At 35.1% G+C, this 25,056-nt stretch overlaps 2 long non-coding RNA genes across 2 annotated transcripts in view; one reads left to right on the forward strand and one right to left on the reverse strand.

Moving 5' to 3' along the window:
• Positions 1-25,056, reverse strand: part of LOC101927414 (uncharacterized) — a 55,601-nt gene that overhangs the window by 20,185 nt on the left and 10,360 nt on the right. The gene's annotated exons all lie outside the window — the stretch shown is intronic.
• On the forward strand, positions 22-14,883 carry LOC107986314 (uncharacterized). Its single transcript, XR_001741842.2, has 3 exons — positions 22-137; positions 2,501-2,699; positions 14,429-14,883. It is a non-coding gene; the product is annotated as an uncharacterized LOC107986314 (long non-coding RNA).

Below are 25,056 nucleotides of genomic sequence, written 5' to 3' on the forward strand. Positions count from 1 at the left end.
TTCCTACCAATCTTACCTACAAATCTCACTTGGATCTATGATTTATCTCTATCTTTTATCAGAGAAACAGTAAAGGGCCCTGGACTCAAACTCCCTCTGTGCAAGTCCTGGCTGTGTTTCTTGCTACCGGCGTAATGGTAGGTAAGTTATTTAACCTCTCTGTCTCTCATCGTCCACATCAGTAAAATGAAGATGGGAAGAGTAACTTACTCACAGGATGTGCTGATGTTATGACCATTACTATAGTTCATTTCACCATCTTTTTTTTATTTCTATTTTTTTAGGCCTTACTTTGTCATCTAGGCTGGACTGTAGTGGTGCTATCACGGCTCACTGCAGCCTCAAACTCCTGGGCTCAAGTGATCCTCCTGCCTCAGCCTCCCGAGTAGCTGGGACTATAGGCACATCCCACCACATCCAGAAAATTATTTTATTTTATTTTATTTTATTTTATTTTTGTAGAGACAGTGTCTTGCTATGTTGCTCAGGCTGTTTTACAGCTCTTGACATCAAGCAATCCTCCCACCTTGGCCTCCCAAAGTGTCAGGATTATAGGCATGAGCCACCATGCCTGGCTTCACCATCATTTTAAAATCTCAGTTGTCATAATCTCCTAACAGGTTTCTGTGCCATCTTGGCTGTTGTATAATTAAGCTGCAAAACAGTCGGACTGATCTTCCTAAAGTGTCATATAATCTTTTTGATGCATAAAATTCTAGGAATGCTCTCATTAATTTCACAATATAACCCTGATGGGCCACATTCTACCTGATATGATTTTTGCCAAACTCTTGAATCTAATCTATTCACACAGAAGAGAATGGAGTACATCACATTCTCCTTCAAATTTCAACCAGCAATTATGATCCTATATATCCAACTTCTTCGTAATAGAATTATTTTCCCTTTAACAAAAATTTCTACGTAACTATTTCTTAAGCTGCACTGTAAACAAATAGGCAAGATCAAAATGAGATCTAATAATTTTTGTAGGGGCAGCCAAGTCATATACCGAGGCAGAAAACTTAAAATGCAAATATCATCACACAATAGCTATGCATGGCCACCTATCATTTATATTCTTTATTTGTCGGACCTCCTTTACATTTTGTTCCTAGTGTTTCATTTTACACTGTCATGCTTCACTGTACTTCAACAATAACCATGGACGTGAAATAAATTGATTGTGCTCAGCAGAGATAGAGTAGATAGCGGAGGTAATTAAGTATAGAGGTAAATCTTCCTACAAAACCAAAATTGACATTTTTTTCCTATCATCTTGAAACTTTTGTTACTCCACTTTGAAAATGATATTTGCTTAAGGAAAAAAAAAGACAGCCTAGTATGTATTACAGTAATGTGAGTTCTAAAATTAGGCACTCAGGATAATCATGAATTAGCGTCCTGAGAGCCATTGTGGTTGTCGAAAAAAATAATAAAGTTAATTAAAACAGTCTTTTAGAATATACATATGTACCATACTACACTGAGTATTCCAAAGGATGTGGAAATATTTTTTCTGTCCATTTTGGGCACTTTATATAGTGTATTTTTTAATCTAAAGTAATAAGTTCAAAGTTGAAAGTTCAAAATAGTGTTGAGTATTCCCAAAGACTTTATATATAATAAACAGAAACACAGAAAGACACAATCACTATATCAATTTCTATATCGCTTTTAAAAAGAATATTTATTTATTTATTTATTTATTTTGAGACAGAGTCTTGTTATGTTGCCCAGGCTGGAGTGCAGTGCCACCATCTCAGCTCACTGCAACCTCTGCCCCCAGGTTCAAGTGATTCTCATGCCTCAGCCTCTCAAGTAGCTGGGATTACAAGCATGGGCCACCACGCCCGGCTAAATTTTACATTTGTAGTAAAGGCAGAGTTTTGCCATGTTGCCCAGGCTAGTCTTGAACTCCTGGCCTCAAGTGATTTCCTGCCTCCACATCCCAAAGTGCTGGGATTGCAGGCATGAGCCACTGCACCTGGCCAACTTTCTTCCTGTTAGTTGACTTGACATGAAATGCTTGGGGCAATTTTACCAAATAAAATAAGCAATCTATAACCTATAATTTTCAAACTCCTTGTCCCATGTTTCAGATGAATTACAGTAATGTTTAGTTATTATCAGTATTTTTAGGTATTGATGCAAAAATATTGTGTAACCTTACCTTCTCAACAGAATTAATTATGTGAGTTTATTTTAAAATGTTACTTAAAGTGCATTCTCAAGAAACCATCATTTCTGAGAGATGGTTAGCATTGCACATTTATTTTCCTAGTAATGGAATGGATTGATTATTGACAAATTTTTGTATTATGTGTTTTGTATTTTTTAGAAATAACTAATTTAAAGCTTCTCTAAGAAATAACATTTTAATACATAATATTTAATATATTTGTTGCATGTCAATATTTGCAGATGCATGACAGATAATATTTTCACACTATTTATCAAAAACAAAACTAACTAAAAAACCTTTTACCTTGTTTACAAGTGCTATTTAAGCAGCAGTGCATGTCTCCTCACATTTGAAAATATTGATTGGGTCTTGAAGACAGAATAACAAGCGCCAGAACTCAAGCATTTTGCCAGGAGTGGTGCTGCCTCATCAGTACTTCAGATCCAGGCAGGGAAACTGTCAGCAGAACTGCTCCAAAGTCTGCTTTGTGAAATGCACATAAGCGGTCTCCCAGGTAAGTAAGACTCAGACAATAAAGCTTTACAGATTGCAAGCAGCACCTTAACTGCATTTGAATATGAACTGGAAGTTGGTGCAGTTCTCTGTGGTAAAATGAAATTTAGATTATTAAGTAAGCATGTGCTGTATTCTGTACCCTTAGAAACTTCAGCATAGATGCCAGCATCATATTAATATTTGATCATCTTTAATATTTAAAAAGCTTTAATTTTGAAACAATCAAGATGCACATGCAACATATTATCTTCTTAAGTGTTTATTATATTCTTATACATGTGCTTGGCCAGATGTGAAGAAATATATTGCGTATAAGGAGAATAACTATATATCAAAACATTCTATGTCACTCTAACACACACCATCCAGTTCCTTTCTTTTGCTGTGTTTTCTACTATGTTACATTATGACACTATTTATAGAGCTTTTAAAAACTTGTTAATGAAGATCTTTCTTATCATTTAGACTATAAGTTCTTTGAAGTCAGGGTCCATGTCTGCTTTGGTTTATTACTAAATCTAATTAAGAACCACTTCACTCTCTGCAATTGGAGTAACAAAAAAACTACCAGTTTAATGAATTAATATGCTTTCAATATTGCTTTCAAAGTAGAAGGAGACAGTTTGATTAAATCATATAGCAACCATGAAATACACCAAATACATGTTTGCTTTTAATATCTAGAAATGTTAAACTGAGAATTTCTTTATAAAAATTCTTATATTCTTATTAGGAAAAGTAATTAAAAAAAAGCTATTTGTACCACAGAAAATAGTGTATATAATACTAAAAATATAAAAAAATACATTTAGAATTTCAGATATTAGCAATATTTTTCCAGAATCTATCCTGATACTCTTTGATTAAAAAAAGTAAGATAGAAAAATAATATGGTTATGCCTTGTGTATAAAATAATAAAACTGCTGACACATCATTATTCTAGGTTTACATACCTTTACTTGCCTGGTCCCTATTGTGTAACAAATAGTATGAGTTTGTAAAATGACTGGCTAGGGAAAGGGACAAAATTTGTATCCATGAAGTATGCAAAAATTAACAGACCCCCACAGGCATGAAACTCTGGCTTTCACTGTGTTAGTTCAAGGCCTATCCCAGTGGAGCAAAGCAGCAAGGATTTGGGGTCTGTTTCTTTTCTCACACATCTTTTACAGCTCATCATTGCAGTCTGCTTTTTCATGTGATTGCAATGTGGAAATTCTTCAACTTTCTTGTTGAATAATATTTAAACTCTAAATCACATCCAATTTCTTAGTATAAGCATATGTTCATGACCATTTCCTAATATAGAATAGATATGCCTTCTGTTTTGATTACATTCTGCTTCACTTGGTTATTTTCCTTTGGACCACCCTGGAACCTCATTTTAATGTAGACAGCTCTCCAATATTTACATAGGAATATAACTAAAAATTATTTCTGTCTTCTTTAATAAATCTGTTGCTACTGTTACTACTGGCTCTTCCACTCTAACTTTCCATTTTTCTTATTTGATTGCAACCAAAATTCTTGATTTTAGGGCTGGTCTCTTTTTCTCATTCATACATCACTTAATTTTGTGTTTCCTTACAGATGGAATTTCCCCAACTGAGTTTCATGTTTCCTTTGTTGACATTCAGTATCTCAAATAACACCTGTATATACTGGTTGATTAAGAATTGTCCTATAACTATATGTTGAATAAATAATCTTAAAAGTTCAATTCACTTACTTTCTGAAAAATTATATTTATATACATGCATATAAATAGAAAGATACATACATATATTATATATATGTTATTCAAAATCACCATAGTAGAGGTTTTATTAAATGTATGTGTGTGCTACAGTTTGTTTATATATACTATATTAATCCCTCATTTTTCCAGTTAGTCTTATTGAATCTAGAAGATCTAAATAAAATGTACTGAATTGAGAGTGTCAAATAGTATTCGAAGACAGTGTATGTCATAAGCTTAGAACTACCACAGTGTTTTGGAAAATGGTCAATAAATAACATTAAGCTTCAACTTCAGTGCAGGAGAATGCAAGGTTGAAAGTCACTCACCCTCTATTTTGACGTAAACCATTAATGAATCTTAATCAGACAGAGAACTTCATCATACACTTTGGTGTAATAAGATTTTACTTGTCATAATACTTTGTTAACAAAGAAAAGGCTAGAGACATCACACAATATACCTATTACGATATACCCATTTTTCCTTAATTTTAATTCAGGAGGTACATGTGCAGATGTAACAGACCTGCACATGTACCCGCTGAATCTTACATTAAGAAAAAAAAAGAAGGCTAGAAAAATAGGATGTGAGGATGGAGGGAGGATGAACAGAGAAATATTTCTGAGAGGAATTTTGTATTTTAGTTTTTTTATAGAATTATCATTCCACATGGAAATTTTATTTTTATCTTTATTGAGATTCTTAAAAATTCACTATGTTTAGAGAGAAAAATAATCGACTAGAAAGAAGAAGAAGAAAAGGAAAGGAATTCTGAGATTTTAGTAAAACTGTATCGTCTTCTTTACATTCTTTTTTTTTTTTTTTTTTTTGAGACAGAGTCTCGCTCTGTCACCCAGGCTGGAGTGCAGTGGAGTGATCTTGGCTCACTGAAAGCTCTGCCTCCTGAGTTCACTCCTTTCTCCTGCCTCAGCCTCCTGAGTAGCTGTGACTACAGGCACCACCACGCCTAGCTAATTTTTTGTATTTTTAGTAGAGACAGGGTTTCACCATGTTAGCCAGGATGGTCTCGATCTCCTGACCTCGTGATCTGCCCGCCTCAGCCTCCCAAAGTACTGGGATTACAGGCGTGAGCCACTGCGCCTGGCCTACATTCTCTTTTTATATTAAGAAAAATGATCCTCAGAAAACACACTATATTATTTCAGAAATTCAAATAATAACTTTGCATATAAATATTTCATTTATGTTGTTTACGTAATGTAAGAGGACATGGTACTTACCATTTTCAAATTAAGGACTATGTTAAAAATTGGGATATTTCTTAGATCTCATATCAGAAAGTTCAATGTAGTTTAACCTTACAAGGGAAATTCAAGACTTAAATTTCTGTTTACAAGTTTATAAAAATTAGTTTCAGATAGTCATCTTTTTCATGGTATCATGACAATCCATTTATTCTAATTTAATTTATTGTACTTTGCTGGAATGTCGCACATCTTCTTTTTGTTAGCGTCCATTGTTCTTATTTGCCAAACTAAAAATGGCTAAAGATAGAATTTTTGCTCAGTTGCTACTCTTCCTAACAACATTGTATATTTGTTGTTTTAATTTGCTTGACTCTTAAAATATACATATATGTAATATATATGTATTTTATGTATAAACAGAATCTTGCCAAGTTATTATTTTTTAACGTTCCTTTAATCTCTAGAAATTGGAGAAAATTCTTTGCACTTTATGTAATTGAGAAAATTCAACAGTAAATTTGGGAGAATTACTACTCTCTATCTTATCTAGGGCTGAAATTGCTTCTCTCTCACTCTCTCTGAGGTCACTTCGCATCCCAGAGCAAAAGCCTATTCTGGCCTTGTTGTGTCAGTCTCATAGTGATCACACTCTCTCAACTTTCTTCCCTTTCTTGCTCAAGACTTTTAGGAAGTTTTGAAAATTTAATCAATTTCATCCTGCATGCAATATATTTCTCAATCAATATTAACAAATACTAAGTTTGCTCTCGGAATGCAAACCCGTAAGATCTATCTGACTGTTCAAAATAGGCACTGGCTGGAGAAGGCATTATCTAATGGGAATTACCTTTAACCCCAAGAGACAGATTTTGGGTTGTGCCCTCAGTGATATAAGGTGATATAAGGCAAGATTTCTCAAGGTGGGTACGCAGCATTCCCTTCCAATAGAATGTTAATAGGTGCCATGTAGAAAAGGAAATATTCTCAGTGTGTGTGTGTGTGTGTGTGTGTGTGTGTGTAAAGAGATGGTTTGAAAAAGGAAAGTGAGTACCTTTACTACAAGGATCTTGGAGTCTTTAATACATTAATGTGCAGCATCAGTCTGCAAAACGTATTGAACTGTATGGAAAGTCCAAGTTTTATATATTTAACATAAGCCCCACTCCTATGAGTCAGTGTAAAGACAACTGTCTTCATGCTGAAGGGTGCCGTATGGACCTGTCCACATTATCTAAGAGCATAGTCTCTATCCTCTGTCTTCCTCCTATAAAGTCTATAAAGCCTCCTCTGAGATGTTTACCATTAGGTGGTGAGCAGTAATCCTGAATAAGATGAGTTATTCCAAGAATGGTTTTTCCCATCTGAAAGGGCATAGTATAGGCAGGTTGAAGGAACTCCAACAAGAAAGTGACTCCTTTTACTTTCTTTCTCTACACAGACAGGTGTGATTACCTCTGATATTTGGTTCTGGACTCTATTTGGCCCAATCTAGCTTACTCAAGTTTTTCATTAGGATTTCAGAAAACACTCTAGCTAATAACAATTTACTAGTTTGTCTCCTTCCTGCGTATATCTATCTTAGAGGTTTGTGAGTAAAACGTGTTTAGAATGAGGGCAGAATTAAAATATTGTGGGTACCACTGGCTAAATGTGTCTTAACATTATTTTAGATCACAACTTAAATACATTCTTTATTCAACATTTAACAGAATATAACAATTCTAAATTAGCCTAATTACATTTTTTTGTTTTAAATTTGAACCTGTGTAATTTAGTAAGGTTGAAATACTGGCTCTACTACTTAGTAGCTAGATGGTCTTCATTTACATTTCTAATCTCTTTGAGCCTCAATTTCCTAGAATATAAGTGGGGATAATTAATATCTACCTCATAGTATTATTTCAAGTAATGATTAAAATGATACATGTAAAGTTTGTGAAAGAAAAATAGAATCTCAGGACCCCAAACTAACTAAGCCAAAGAGAAGGTTAAGCTTGGGAACTGAGTCATGCAAAAACTGACTTTCTTTTGTACTGAAACAGATAGCTTTAATTTCACATGCTTACTTTATCTCATGTAAAATGTAGATTTATTGGGCAAAACAAATGAATCCCCCCACTCTCTTCTTCTCGCATGTAAAATGTAGATTTGCTGAGCACTAATCAGAGCCTCACAGGAATGTAATTACTTACATCATTGCCTACCCACCCTCCTTTTTTTTTCCTTCCCCTCCTACTTACTCTTTCTTCTTTAAATATTGAAGTTCCCAACACCCTCATTGGAAAAAGCACAGGTCACAGATCCTACTGTGACTTGTGTTTCTTTTTGTCAGATGCATCCTCAGCCTTGGTAAAAATAAACCTTTAATCAATTGAGATGTGCCTCAGTCCCTTTTTGCTTTACAAGTTTTTAAGAGAACAGACAGCATAAGTGATAGGTAAATTATAATAGCTACAAATCTGCCCACTTATAATTGCCTCACCATGCAGCAGCCAGCTCAAATTAGATCGTGTTCTGTTTAATACCATCCACTAGTTCCTAACCACCCTTAGAATAGATTTCAAAGTTCCACATATGCAGTTGCCATATCTTACTTTACTGCCTCACTTTTGTGCTACTTTTCCTGTTTCTTTATTTCTCTGGTCACAGTGACTCTTAATATATTTCTTTCACACACCAAGCTTGCTTCTGCCTCAAGGTATTTGTACTTGCTCTTATTATTTCCCAAAATTCTCATCTGTAAGATTTTCATTTGGTTGAAATCTCCTGTCACTTCCATCTCTGTAGAAATCATCTCTCCTGAACATCTAAATACCCCCATTGCTTTATCTCTTCATGATATTTCCCATTAGTACATGTTTCTTTGTTTACTTGTTTGTTGCCTGTCTTCACCATAAGAATGTCATTTCTGTGGGTATAGAGGCCCACCATTCTGTTGTTTTCTGCACTGTATTCACAGTGCTTAGAATAGGGTTTGTGACATGGTAAATGCTCAGTCAATTTTTGTTCAATAAAATAAATGGTGTAGACTGTGGTCATTTAAGTGATTCTTTTGTGGGTTTGGCCAACAGTAGAAGTTGTGAATATTCTGGTATCTGGCGCCAGAGAGAAGTGCCTAGGAAATAGCTGAGAGAGTGAGTCTTTAGTCAGCAATCTTAGCCCTTCATTCTTCTAATCAGTCTTACCTTTGACAATCCATGTTCTGATTCAGAAAGGGAAGATGACAAAGTTAGGACATGATACATATATGACTCACCAGTATATATTCATGGCTAGCAGCATCAGGAGATCATAAAACCACGGTCACACTCTTTTTTTTTTTAAATTATTATTATACTTTAAGTTTTAGGGTACATGTGCACAATGTGCAGGTTAGTTACATATGTATACATGTGCCATGCTGGTGTGCTGCACCCATTAACTCGTCATTTAGCATTAGGTATATCTCCCAAAGCTATCCCTCCCCCCTTCCCCCCACCCCACAACAGTCCCCAGAGTGTGGTGTTCCCCTTCCTGTGTCCATGTGTTCTCATTGTTCAATTCCCACCTATGAGTGAGAATATGTGGTGTTTGGTTTTTTGTTCTTGCGATAGTTTACTGAGAATGATGATTTCCAATTTCATCCATGTCCCTACAAAGGACATGAACTCATCATTTTTTATGGCTGCATAGTATTCCATGGTGTATATGTGCCACATTTTCTTAATGCAGTCTATCATTGCTGGACATTTGGCTTGGTTGCAAGTCTCTGCTATTGTGAATAGTGCCGCAATAAACATACGTGTGCATGTGTCTTTATAGCAGCATGATTTGTAGTCATTTGGGTATATACCCAGTAATGGGATGGCTGGGTCAAATGGTATTTCTAGTTCTAGATCCCTGAGGAATCGTCACACTGACTTCCACAATGGTTGAACTAGTTTACAGTCCCACCAACAGTGTAAAAGTGTTCCTAGTTCTCCACATCCTCTCAGCACCTGTTGTTTCCTGACTTTTGAATGATCGCCATTCTAACTGGTGTGAGATGGTATCTCATTGTGGTTTTGATTTGCATTTCTCTGATAGCCAGTGATGGTGAGCATTTTTTCATGTGTTTTTTGGCTGCATAAATGTCTTCTTTTGAGAAGTGTCTGTTCATGTCCTTCGCCCACCTTTTGATGGGGTTGTTTGTTTTTTTCTTGTAAATTTGTTTGAGTTCATTGTAGATTCTGGATATTAGCCCTTTATCAGATGAGTAGGTTGCGAAAATTTTCTCCCATTTTGTATGTTGCCTGTTCACTCTGATGGTAGTTTCTTTTGCTGTGCAGAAGCTCTTTAGCTTAATTAGATCCCATTTGTCAATTTTGGCTTTTGTTGCCGTTGCTTTTGGTGTTTTAGACGTGAAGTCCTTGCCCATGCCTATGTCCTGAATGGTAATGCCTAGGTTTTCTTCTAGGGTTTTTATGGTTTTAGGTCTAACATTTAAGTCTTTAATCCATCTTGAATTCATTTTTGTATAAGGTGTAAGGAAGGGATCCAGTTTCAGCTTTCTGCATATGGCTAGCCAGTTTTCCCAGCACCATTTATTAAATAGAGAATCCTTTCCTCATTGCTTGTTTTTCTCAGGTTTGTCAAAGATCAGATAGTTGTAGACAAGCAGCATTATTTCTGAGGGCTCTGTTCTGTTCCATTGATCTATATCTCTGTTTTGGTAGCAGTACCATGCTGTTTTGGTTACTGTAGCCTTGTAGTATAGTTTGAAGTCAGGTAGCGTGATGCACTCTTAAGGACTGTATTTGCACAAACCTGGAAACATTCATCAGAGGGAGACTCTTGGGACTTAATCAAAGATACACATGGGATAAAGGTTTCAAGAATTTCTGCCTGTAGGACAGACTTAGATATCAAAAATACTCCAGGGCATCTACCCCCTAGCTTTGGTTTCTAATATTATTCTCCAATTAAAGGTTCTAGGGTTGCTTAAAGAAATGGCAGAGTCTAGGGCTGAGGCAGAGAATATACAAGATGGGCTGGAGCATCTCGTAGCATGCAAAAGTAAGAAAATGTTCAAATAACAAAAATATCTCACAATGATGGAGATATGTCAAAGGTACACAGGAGCCAACTGAAAAGAATTCTCAAGGGTCAGAGAACAATTTGAGCAACAAAATAAAGTATTATTGGATTATAATACAAATGAATTCATACTAATATAAAGAGATAATTGAATAAATAAATGAATGGGGCAGAAGAGACAAATCTCCCTTGCAGAATAATTCCAAATAATTTATGTAGCTATTTTACTCTCAAAGAGGTGGAACATAAGTCTCATTCCTTAACAGTGGGATATTTAGGGTGACTTCCTTTGAAAGAGTATGGTATGGAAAGGGAAAGAAAAGAATGTCTTTACACTGGAGAAACCTGACACTTGACCAGGTGATCAAGATAAACATCAGCAGTGGTAAATCACATTATAGTGTATACCACTGACATGATGTGATAAAAATGACACTCTGCCTCTGTGGACTCCCTTCCTTCCCAAAACCCATAACTCCAGTCTGATGATGAGAAAAACATGAGGCAAATACCAACTGATAGACATTCTACAAAATACCTGATTGGTACTCATCAAAACTGTTAAGGTTATTAGAAATAAGAACAGTCTAAGAAACTGTCTCAGTTAAGAAGAGCCTGGTAAGATAAGGTGACTAAAAGTACAGTTGAAACCTGGGTGAGATCTTGAAACAGAAACAGGACACTAGACAAAAACCAAATAAATCTAAATAAAGTATGAACTTCAGTCAATTATTTATCAATGTTGGTTTATTAGTTGTTATAAATATACCATACTAATGTAAATTATTAACAAGAGGAGAGATCGTGTGTTGATAATACAGAATTTTTGCTTCTTAGTGCAGCTAAATCCTGGTTCTTGTGTCACAACCAGGAAAAATTAGGCACACACACACACTGAAGGGTAAGCAGAAGAGAATTTATTGGGTGAAAAGGAAAAGAGAAAGAAAGCACTCAGCAAAGCGAGAGGGAGTCCTGCCAACGGGTTCTCAACACCTGACACTTTGAATACCAGGCCACCACACACGCGCCGAAGAGGCCAGGTTCCTCTCCCTTGCACAAGGTGTGATCCTCCCATGGCTCCACTCCATCATCCCAGTGCACAGGCAGGTCCCCAATCCATGATGGACATGTGCATACAAGACTCTGGGTGGTTCCCTCATCTGCACAAATGGATCTGATGTGAACACTTGTGGGGCGGGTCAGCGATTCTCCGTGTACCCCCCTTATCTGCCTCCTGCATCTATCATTGGGTATATATTGTCTTTGCAAACTGTCTTTGCATCTATCATTGAATGTCTGTGTTGTCTTTGCAACTGTTCTGTTAAGATAAAACTATACTAAAATTAACAAGTTAGTTAAAAAGAAAACTTCAGGACAACCATCCACACTAGACTACATAGATAGACAAATGATGAGTTTGCTGAGAGTGAAGATTTAAATACACTTCAGACATATTTATTGCAAATGTTAAATAAATATATCTGAAGTGTATTTAAGTGTATTTAAATGTATTTATGTTTTAGGTGTAGAAAAATGCTTAATATATAAATAAATAAATTGATTAAAAAGGTAATATTTTATTGTTGCCTGGCTTACTAATTTTAAAAATTACTTTTTACTATTTTTATACTTTTGAGAGGAGAACATATAAAAAAGAAGTTGGGCTTATTAATTCCATATCAAACAGAGGAGCAAATCCCTATGTAATATTTCATTTTAGTTAAATTTAAAACAAAATAATAATAGCATAGTTTTTGTGATTATTTCCATCATAAATCAAAAGCTTTTTAGAGACATTATCTCATTCCTTTCAACATCATTTTTTAGATTAAGGCTGAAAAAATGTCAGGCACATCTTTTTTATGTAAAGGATAGTACTTTAATAGTTCAGGCTATGACTAACATTGTTCAATTTAGTCATTTCTAAGCCTGAATTGACCAACTTCCTTTGGGATGTATAACTATTTTTAGCCCAGGGCAGATATTTATATAAAATTCCCCAAGGAAACCATCTAGTCTTGTCTCTGTTCCCAGAATCCTGATTAAAACACAACAAAACAAAACAAAAAAACAAAAAAAAACTCATGAAAATAATATTAAAGAGCAGGAACTTACCTAATGTAAAGTTTACCATATTTAAAGGGGCTTTTTTCAAAATAGGTAAAACTTCAAAAAATGATAATCATATATTGGTAAGATATTGTGAAATTGATATTCTTCTACATTACTGGTGATAATGTTGATTAATTTTTTTTGAAAGAAAACTAGAAAGTATGTATCATTCCTCCTCAAATAATCTTATATATTAAAATGTATCATAAGAATAAAAAATGTTTTAAAATGAAAAAACCTCAGTGCCTGCAAATGAGATTTAATATAGCATATCTTTTGATATTTTAAAAGAAAACTAAAAAAAATCAAACTATAACATGTTCAAGAGTAAAGGACTGGATAAGAAAATAATATTATGACATTGAAAAGATTTATGTGGTCATTAAACTACTTGCAAAGAATATGAAACAACACAATAATGCCTTCATTAAAAATCACTATAAAAGTGTATAGTAAGAAAATTAAGCTTAATATTGATTATTCTAAATAATTACATGTCTAATTTTGACAACTATATTTTTCTGAAGCTCAATTGATCTGTATATTGTATAAAGCAGACTTATATATGTCATATAATAACATTCAATTTGGTGAGCATATGGAAAGCCATGTTACCCTAAATTGACCATTCTTGAAAGTATCATGAAGGCTCTTCTAGGGTTGTAATGATTAACCAAAAACAAGACATTACATTTCTTTTCAGGCACAAGCCAAATGACTCATGCACCACAGAGTAAAATTTGAGGAACTCAAGCAATTATTCATGTGTCAAATTGGACACACACTCACATACACATACAAAAGTCTTGAAAAAGAAAACCTAGCTTTGCTTTCAGACATTCTATTAGCTACAGACTTATAAGACCAGATTAAACTTTTTAATTTTCCCTGAACGTTTATAAACTCATCTCCTACCTGTCTGGTTCCTAAAGCTAATGCTCTGTCATTAAGCCAACAAAACAAGATTAGTGTATGATATGGTTTGGCTGTGTCCCCACCCAAATCTCAACTTGAATTGCATCTCCCAGAATTCCCCTTGTGTTGTAGGAGGGACCCAGGGGATGGTAATTGAATCATGGGGGCTGGTCTTTCCTGTGCTATTCTCACGATAGTGAATAAGTCTCACGAGATCTGATGGGTTTATCATGGGTTTCTGCTTTTGCTTCTTCCTCATTTTTCTCTTGCCGCCACTGTGTAAGAAGTGCCTTTCACCTCCTGCCATGATTCTGAGGCTTCCCCAGCCAGGTGGAACTGTCTAATTAAATCTCTCTTTCTTCCCAATCTGAGGTATGTCTTTATCAGCAGCCTGAAAACAGACTAATACAGTATCATAGCCAGGATTTTGGTCCAGATGACCTTTATCTCCCAGTATTATACTTGTGAATGTGTTACCTTACCTGACAAGGGGATTTTGCATATGGAATTAAGGCTGCTTATCAGCTGATTTTAAATTAGGGACATTATCCTGAGCTGTCAGTAGGACCCCAGTGTAATCACATGTGCCTTTATAAATGGCAGTGGTTTACATACATTTTAAAAATTTATTCCTTACAATAATTATTTAAAGGAGAAAATATTGTATGCTAGATGTCTTCCATTTGTTCCTCCAGACCCACTTTCCATCCTTCTCCTTTCTGAGGAGGAGGTGGTTAGAAAAAAAAGAAGAAGACAACAAAAGAGTAGATGAGAGAGATGTGGCAAAAGAAGAGGCAGAAGAGAAGAGGCAAGAGAAGGATTCTCCCACCCATTGCTGTCTTTAGAGATGCAGGCTATGAGCCAAAAAGCACAGATAGCTCCGGAAGCTGAGGACAAGCCACACTGCCCACACTCCCGCAACTGCCCAGAACTGAATTTTGCCAATTACCTGCATAAATCAGAAAATGGATGCTCACTAGAGTCTCCAGAAGGGAGCCTGGCTTGCTGACACCTAGATTTTTGTCTTGTGAGACTGATCAGAGGAATTATCCCAGCACACTTGACTTCTGAAATTGTGATATATCTATGCCTGCAGAAACCCATGACATGCAGAAACTATGAGTTAATAAATGAATGTTGTTTTAAGCCATCAAGTGTGTGGTAATTTGTCACAGCAGCCCTAGAAAACGAATAGACTCTCTAACTAACATTGGTGTTTCAAATTTACCATAGGCACTGTGTATATAATCTCCCTCATACACATGTTTCCATTGATATTCAACAAAGAAGAAAAAGAAAAGGGAGGGGGAGAAAGTGAAGGGTCGTGGAAAGCAGTAGCTCAAGAAAAGGAAGAAGGAGAACTAACAAGAGGAAGAATAAGAGGAGAAAGGAAGAAAAAAATACCATTTTACAAAAAAGAGAATGCAAAGCAACTCACAGACATTTAGTTGTAAGCTATTGCTTAATTACCAAATCAAGATTTTTTTACTTCAGCTACTGAATCCAGGTGAAAGAAACTATCTCTGTTCTATTTATAACATGAAAGAGTTCTAAAGCACATATGTTTAACAAATTGCATTTGCACTTTATCATCTCAACACTCTTTCACTAGAATGAACAGATAAGCCCACTTCCTCCAAAATAACTGGTGTGGGATTGTACCTATGGTGCACCCATCTTATACTCTTTGTGTTTAAAGGACTAGATCATAGGTTGTCTATGAAGGGAAATGCTAATATCATGTTTGCTAAGGTTTACACCAGCCAAAGTGCATTGAATTCTAATCTTAGAGTCAATTAGAAGCACAATTATCACATCTCCCCTTCTTTCTTCCCACAGAAATATCTTCATTACCAACACAGTGCTTGGCCAGCAGGGCAGTGGTTAAGACTAAACACCCAACCCTCAAAATCCCAGGTTATATTTAAGCACATTTTCATGTATTAAAATGAAACAGTCTATCCTGGGATTGGCTCAGAAGCAAGTTAATTCTTGTTAATGGATTTTTTGTTGTTGTTGTTCTAGAGGAAAATCCCCTTAAAAGCTCCCCTGGTGTGGCTTTCTATTGGAGCTGGCCTGAAGACAGAAATTTCCTAGAATGAGAAGGTTTTTTGCACTAGGGAAATGTTTAAACATAGCCATTGATTCTGCTGGCCAAATACATAACAGAGATCAACATTGCAAGAAGTACTGGAGCTTAATAATATCGAACACTTTCCCATACTGAGGGTTATTCATACTAAATATTAGTCTGGAAGTCTATTCTGATGCTGTCCCTATCCACTCTTAACTCTCCACATTTCCTCCTCATACATGTAATTTTTTCCAGGTGTACAACAAAAGCCCCTTTCCTTCAACAAACAGCCTGCAGATAATTGTGTTTTTCCTCATGTACAGAGGAAAAAGGGCATACATACAACACAGCACAAAATAGATCCAAATACATAGCCTCATAGAAAAACTAGAAAAATAATACCTGTGGAAGTTTACTCAAGCACCAACCTTTCTCTCTTTTTGCTTTCTAAGAAGGATCATCCACTGTCAATGGTAACTCTGAGACTCTTAGGATGAAGCTTGGCTAGCTAAGTTTCTACCACCATCCCTACCCAACCAATTGTGAGTGAAGAATTTATTAACCTGAATAACGATGGTCCACTATACTAGTGTACACTCAAAACTGTTTATGATGACTCCAGTGAAACTAAAATTTTAACATAGGCAGGTAGATACAACATGCATTTGCTCTCCAGCCTGGGAGAGGTGGGGTGGAATGTTTTATATGGATGCTATATGTCTATTTCATGTTATTTTTTAAGGTTCACTCATAAATCATTTTCAGAGACACATGCACATATATAGACATACACACTGAATTCTTCATTCACAAGATTCATATGAAATTTTATTCTATAATAAAGCTACTTCTCTTATACTACTACTGGCATTTTACCTCTATGTTTCTCATCCATCAATGCTATGAAAATTATATAATGAGATATACCCTACTGTTGCCTAAAGCATATGTGCAAATTAATCATTTTCATTTTTGTACATAGAGAGAATATAGAGAATTCAAGATCAACTGGAAAAAGGTACTTTCAAGTGGAGGTTCTATTTGACCCCAATAATAACATTAATTTTTTCATGTGTTGCCAACAATGTGATCCCTTAGCCTCTTAAATTATATGAATCATGTCGCATTATTAACATTATTTCAAAATCAATGTAATTTAATGCCATGTAATTTGTATATTTGTGAGTTAAGAGGTGCAGGGCATCCATTTCTCCTTTACTAGATTAAAAAAGTGGGAGAGGATTACACCAATAACTGTTTGATTTGTTCAATCATAGGGTAAAAGTAAATCAGAATGAAGTGATGAAGATCAGCAGTACACAGATTGGATAATTCAGTAATTCTAATGCAGATATCTTTTATCAAAGGTAGTCTTTTCTTTTATTTTTTCAGAATGTAAGCATAAATATTGTCTGCTTTGCAATGAGATGCAATGATAGCATAGAGTTGCCAAGAGGCTCGAGCTGTTCTGTCCTCATCGACATGAATGGGTCTTGCCTGAATGTTTAGAGGAAGAGATAAGATGCAAGCAACTGTTTTCCCCCTGGTACCCTTGACTTACAACTACAGCTATTCCAAAAGTTTTTGTTTTTCCTTTAGGCTATGAGAAGTTTAAGTCTCTGTTTGAAATATATTACAAATAGGAAACAGAACACTTTATAACAAAAAATGTGGAGGAGAGTAGTAGAGGTGAAAAAATAAAAAAAGGTTTCCTACAGTTCTTGGTTGCCCTATTAATATGCTTATTGATCACATTGAGGGTCTTCTAAGAATGGACAGCTTTGAAAATAGCTATAACAACTGTACAAGTCACTCCATCTATCAATATTTGACTTCTGCATAATAAACCATTCATTGGCATTTGACAGATATTTATGATTTTCAAGTGAAGCACTGTTGTTTATTTTGATTTTGATTTATAATTTGAAATAATCTTCCCAGAAGAATATTAAATATTGTGCTTGACACATTAGTTGAAGTTGTGTCATCATCTATTACTAAAATATACCGACATAAAATATTAGATGGTTTTCTGTCAGCCTAAAATATTTCTGACAGTGAATCTTAAATAGATCATTAATGTTCATACTTCTGTTGCATGCTGAAAGATTCAGCTGATGATTGAAGGGCCTTTTCAACTTTCAGAGTTGTACTGAGTTTTACAGATCATAGAATAACATAGCTGGAGCAATCTTAGTTATTCTTTAGTTTTAGAACAGCTAAAAGTTTAAAGAGGTTAAGTGATTGTTAACAACCTACAGGTGAAATTTGTATTAAGTAAAATAGCCCTTTAGTTATAAAAACTAAATAAAAATTCAACATATCAGAAAATATGCAGAAAACGTTTCTAGTCTTGTGCATGGTATTATGTCTGATCCTTTCAAATGGGTTAGTACTTTAGATATTGAAGAAATTAGAGAAGCATGTTTTATCACAACGCCAGAATGTGGTATCATTAGGTGGTTCAAACACTTTTAAACTCTATTCCTAGGACAGGTTAGTACCATTTGGATAACTAATGTTTGATTCTGTCAATAGTGAAAAGTCAGTGAAATGTTCTAATAAAGTTTTTTTTTTAAATTTTATTTATTTTTTTGAGACAGAGTTTTGCTCTGTCGCCCAGGCTGGAGTGTGGTAGTGCAATTTGGGCTCACTGCAGCCTCCACATCCCGGGCTCAAGTGATTCTCCTGCCTCATCCTCCCAGAGTAGCTGGGATTACAGGCATGAGCCACCACACCCAGCTAATTTTTGTATTTTTAGGAGGGACAGGGTTTTCGCCAGGCTGGTCTCGAACTCCTAACCTCAAGCGATCCGCCCGCCCTAGCCTCCCACAGTGCTGTGATTACAGGCATGAGCCACCATGCCTGGCCCTAATAAAGTTTAGATAGTTGGATTTTGATAAATATTCATTCATCCAGTTTAACAAAATGTCATACAAACAGTATGCATATTAATATGTTTTGTTATGATGATGAAACTGTGCAAATGGAAAAAGCCCATACCACACAAATGGGAATTCATTTGCCTTCCAGCAATTTATTTTCACTTCCCGGCCTCCAAATTAATAGTAACTATAATAAAATGTGTTTGGAAAGGAGGTTTGATCATTATATTTCTCCTTTTCCAGACTATGCAAACTAATAAATCATAATTAACACTAGGGATATTTTAAGCAGGATCCATTTTACCATTATTTTTATAATATATAATTGCAGCTACAAATGTATGCTCCTGAATAGCTACTTAAATTTTTTTTTCAGAGAAACACATTTGTTTAAAATTGTAAAAATTTATAAGAGAGGGAGATTAGGGAACTTCTAACCTTTATAAACATACTCTTCATTCTTACTCACATGGTTCATTTCTTAAATATGGTAAACATTCTACTTTCAAAACAGCACATAATTTCTCCTTACCTATCCATAATGTCATTTAGTTGATCAGAAGATGCATTTTATTATCATTTTGTCACTAACTTAAAGAGTTGATGCATATTCCTACACTGTACAAATTGCTATATTCCCACTTAAGAAAATAAGATATATACAATTGTGATACATGTTAGGTAATAAGTTTCAGTGTTAATGAATGCCACCTTATTGGTGCTAGCTACATTTCACTCATTACGACAGATAATATAAATGGACCTTAAGCATAATGGTTCGTACAGAAAGTTAAGAATTCAAATTAACTGAGCCCTCTGTAGTATTAAACACCTACTTTGAACTTCAAACCAAGAAGATCAAAAGGTGTAATTTTCAACTTCAGATTGCAATTAAAAAGGTCAATTCAGCATGTATATTTGTTATCTCTAGTTCAATATGATGAATTTAAGAGACAGCCTATGATTTTCATAAAGGTCACTGGAGTTGGAAATGCCAAATCTCATTAGTCTTAATCAGCTGATATAAAAGTTACCTATCTGCCTTTATGCTTAATGCAAGATTACTCAATTTCTTCATTAAATGAATCTTTTAAAACTCCATGCTTCCTGAAATGTGTTTTGTTCTAGGAAGATAACTTTTTAAAAACTATTGCATTGTATGTTTAATTTAAAGTTAAAAATATTTCTGTTCTGCCAGCTTAAACACTGTCTTATTTGAGCTACTTTCTCCATACATTTGATTATAACTAGAAGGTTAAAAGTTTGTATGAATAAATGTATGCAAAGAACATAGCACGTCTCAAGTTTTTACAAGGAATTCATTTTTTTTTTAAATTCATGAACTTAAACAGAAAGTTGAACATTTGTGCATATGGTCACACTGCAGAGGGTAATTGGGACCAGCTGTTACACTTTGTAGTTTCTGAAAGCCTGTGTATTGCCTTCTAGCTACACTGACTTTGTGCAGGCCTTAATAAAAGAAATTAAAGAATGTGCAAGCCTGAATGACTTCCACGTCCCTCTTCAGAAGAGCGTTAATTCAGACAAGACATAGGAGGCATAGCTTTTCCATTGCCATTCATCTATGACCCACATGCAGAAGAAATGATTTTTCATGGGCATTATTTAGTGACTTGCAAACTTTAATCACTCTGCTTGTTTCATTTAAATCTATCTTCTTATAGTAAAGTATCTTAACCATGTCAGAGTCAACAGTTTGTAAACACACACAAACACGAACACACACAAACACACACACAACAACATTTAGCATCTCACTTTTCATATCCTTGCTTAAAATATTTCCAGGTGTAAGATATGATAAAATAGCACATATTGCATTAGACAGAAATTTATATTTAAGGGAAGCATGATAGAATTGTGATATTCAAAATTCTTCTTTCAAAATGTCAGTGTACATCAGTATTTAGTTATAATGAAAAAATAAATAATTGTTCAGGCAAGGATTTTTGGAAGATGGTGGCAGCAACTTTAAAAAATCTTACTGAATACCCACTGTGGTAGATAAAACAAAGACCCCCCACAGATGTTTATAACCGAATCCTTAAAACCTGTGAATATGTTAAATTATGTGGCAAAGGGAATTTTGCAGATATGATTAAATTAAAGATATTGAGATGGGGGATTATCCTGGATTATCCAGTGGGCTCAATATAATCACGAGGAAAGAGAGAGACAGAAGTGTCAGAGTCAAAGTAAACTACGAAGACACTATGCTACTGCCTTTGAAGGATGAAGAAAAAGTCCAGGAGGTCAGGAACTCTGGCAGCCTGGCAACTGGAAAAGGCAATACCCATAAGCAATACAGCTTTGCAGACACCTTGGTTTTATCCCAGTGAGACTGATGCTGGACTTCTGATCTCCAGATCTCTAAGACAATAAAGTGTTGTTTCAAGTGGCTGAATTTGTTGTAAATTGTTACGGCAGCCATAGGAAACTAATATAACGGTAGAAAACTCAACCGTAAAATCAAAATCACTGGGCAACATTTACAACAAAATTAGGCCACAAGATACGCCTAGGAGCACCAAAATCTTGACTGGAATAAACAAATCCTACAAAGTACTTGCAACTATGTGGGAAGCAAAAAACAGAATCAACAGAGTAGCGTCCAAGGCACCAGAAAAGACGAAGACATAAAACTTGGAAGTGTGCAGGGATGAAACTAGGATGGAAGGGGGCAGCGCTTTACAGCAGGTGAGTGCAGGGGGCTGACAGTAAGAATGACCGAAGGGGCGGGAGAAGCTCCACCTCTATGAACCCTAAAGAGTGACCTATCAGGATTCCTTTCTAAGAAACGGACAATGCTGTGAGCAAAATCAAAATGGAACAAGACACGAATATCAGAAAAAAAGGTGAAATGTTCCATCAAAATGTTGGAGCCCTCAGAGCCAGGAAATCACAGAAAACAAGCTGTCATGTAATTTTATGTCACCATGAGAGAGCAAGAGAGAGAGAGAGAACAGAACCCCTGTGAAGTTAGAATGTTTCCTAATTCTAAACTTCCAAGAAAATCTTACACAAAAATAAACAAGAGAAAAGTTTGAGGTCAAACCCTATACAAAATTACAGAAAGAAAGAAGAGAATAAGATCCCTACTGACAATTACAGCGTACTCTTAAGATGTACTCAATAAAGCAGATCAAAATATCAAAAGTTATTAAGAAAATAATGATAAAAACTAACCAGCATAAGAATAGTTGGGGTCCCTAAGAAGACAACTAAAATGGGAGAACAGGCTAACCACAAAAAGTAATTAATCCACGTAAACATTACAGAACAATAAACTTTCCCTGAAATGAAAGATTTTAATCTACATGTTGAGGAAGCACACTAGACCCCAACATCAAGACATAGTCTCATAAAATTATTGGTCTTTCTAAAAAAGAAAAAATATTTGGGGCCTTAAAAATATAAATGTACAATTTATCATTAGGCATTCTTTTTTTTTCTTTTTCTTTTTTTTTTTTTTTTGAGACAGTCGTGCTCTGTGGCCCAGGCTGGAGTGTAGTGGTGCTATCTCGGCTCACTGCAACCTCCGTCTCCCCAGCTCAAGTGATTCTCCTGCCTCAGTCTCCCCAGTAGCTGGGATTACAGGCACGTGCCACCATGCCATGCTAATTTTTGTATTTTTAGTAGAGACAGAGTTTCACCATGTTGGCCAGGCTGATCTCAAACTCCTGACCTCAGGAGATCCGCCCCCCTTGGCCTCCCAAAGTGCTGGGATTACAGGCTTGAGCCACCGTGCCCAGACCTATCATTAGACGTTTTAACAACAGTGGTTTATGCTGAATAAAATGAGAAATTTATTAAAGAAAACCAAGGAAAGAAAGTGAGCAAATAATTTTATATTCAGAAAAAGCGACTTTTGAGTATTAAGAACACAGAAAAACTGTTGTTATTAATAACATGAAAGAATTAGAGAATGTTGTTCCTTGAGGACTTCCTAAGTGATTGACGAGAACATATACTTTATATAACCAAAACAACTAGAGAGACATCAATACATAAATGAGCGCAAAGATCTGAAATGAAAACTAAATGCGGTTTAAGAAGTAGTGAGCATAGTAGGCCCTGGTCATGTACTCTTTTAAATATAGGATAATTGTTTTTAAATGACGGAAGAACAGGGAAAATAAATGCAAAAGTTATTCATGTTTTTATAATTATATTAATAATAGCATTAATGTGATTATTTTGCAACTGGCATGTGTAATATAGGCTTAAAACAAGCAAGCAGTTATGTGTATCCTTGAGAACCAGGATTCTTGCTATGAAAGGAAGGATGCTTAGATGTCATTGAGAAGAGGTAAAATAAAGGCTCTGTAGTCCTGATTTTGAATTGGAATCAATATGATCTCATAAGGTTTGTTATCTTTGCATACAAGTGCAGTTGTTTCCTTGCTCAGTCCACTGAAAGGGCCTAGAAACCATGATCAAATCATTAACAGTAAATATCTCTTGTATCTGGTTCAAAGATCTTATGTAACATTCCCACTAAAATAAAACAGTGTTTCCTGAAAAAGAAATGGCTAATTCCAGTTCTGGAGCAGGACATGTTCAATATGAGCCACATCTTATACCAGATAACAAAAAAATTGTCAAAGATTTAACAGGGTTATGCCAAAGGAACTCAGGTGCCAACTTCAAGAGGTTTCCATTGGCTGCGGATGGAGTAATTTGAGCTTAAATGTTGATAACAACTGCAAAGGACTTAAACCCATCAAACATGTGTAAAGCCATGTGTTCATAATTTTATTTTAAAACAAACCAGTCCCCTTTAGATTCATTTAAAAAAATAAACATTCACACTGCCTTCCCATATCAACCACTGGATTACCACATAATTGATGCTGGAATGTGTCTCTGTATAACAACATCTCAGATAATAATAAAAAAGAGAAGTGATAGCATTAGAATACTTTCATATTGCAACTGCCAATGAATTAATAGATACAAGTAGTAGCATTAATGGCTACTAAAATCACAAAAAGATAGACAACCAGATAGCATTTTTTAATAGATCTTTCCAGATACTATCTATAATCATCTATAACCATGTCAAAGGGATGAAAATCTCTAAATCCAGCAGCCATTTAGCAGAATGTAAAGAGAAAAATGACCACATCGAACTGAACCATGAGTATGCAATCAACAAAGCTCACTTTCTTCAGTGGATAAATTACCAGGAAAATAAAGGGTTTGAGGTATTACTTATAAACTAAGACATGTTGCTATAGTCTTATAAATGTATAAACTAATAAGATTTGCTAAATATAACCACTGTAAAGTTAATTCTTACTACATACCTGATGCCGTACTAAAGTTTTAGACTTTACTTTGATCCTCACAATTTTTTGAATTAAGTGCATTTTTACCAGTTTACAGTGAAGAAAGCTTAGATACATAAAGTGTATGCATTTAGTCAAGGTCAGAATGCCCACAGATCATGATTCTAAGATTTTAATCTTCACCAATTGAAATAAAAGCCTATAGTTTTAATACTATAGTATATTTAGTGTTATACATTATATATTATACAATTATAATAATTCTTTTCTGTAAGAAATTGGAAATATGATGCATGCATATAGAAATTTAAACCACATATTACAATATAATATTATAATTAAAATTTTCTTACACTCAAAATAAAGCACCTTGTATTTCAGGAATACGTCACAGTCAAGGACTTGAATCATGTTGTAAAAGCAACATAATACTTTGTCAGTGAGATCATTTGATTCATAGATAAAATGAGTGATATAAAACTTCCAGAATGCCTGGAAATTCATTAGAAGGTTATGTGCAGATGGAAGTTAGGGAGTCCCAGGCAGCGCATAGCATGTGCAAAGGCACAGAGGCATAGTGTGTCCTGGAAACGTATGTGTTTGGTATGATAAGAACAAAGGATGGTTCAGCAGGAGAGCTGCAGTATGTACAAATGCAGTCATACTGTAGAGGGTCTTGTAGTTCAGAAAGGATGTTAATATTTATAATTTGGAATGGCATAATCACAGTTGTATTGTAGTTAATTTACTTTGGATACATTGTATAAGAACAGAGTTCACAATCAGCTGTGTAGATACGAAGAGGATCTGTAGAGAGGCCCTGGAAATCCTGGAAACTTGAAAAATTGAACACAAAATGTTGAATATGTATGTTTGTGCATCTTTCCTGGGAGACAGCCGATAACTTTTAGCTGATTATCAAAGCATTCCATAGAATCATAATGTTAGAAGATGTTATGTATACCACTTAGGAAATTTATTAGTGTCCCAGGGTTTCTGTAAGACAAAGTACCACAAACTGAGTGGCTTAAAAGAACAGAAATTTATTCTCT

Source organism: Homo sapiens, chromosome 4 (genome assembly GCF_000001405.40).
Source record: "Homo sapiens chromosome 4, GRCh38.p14 Primary Assembly".
Lineage (NCBI taxonomy): Eukaryota > Metazoa > Chordata > Mammalia > Primates > Hominidae > Homo > Homo sapiens.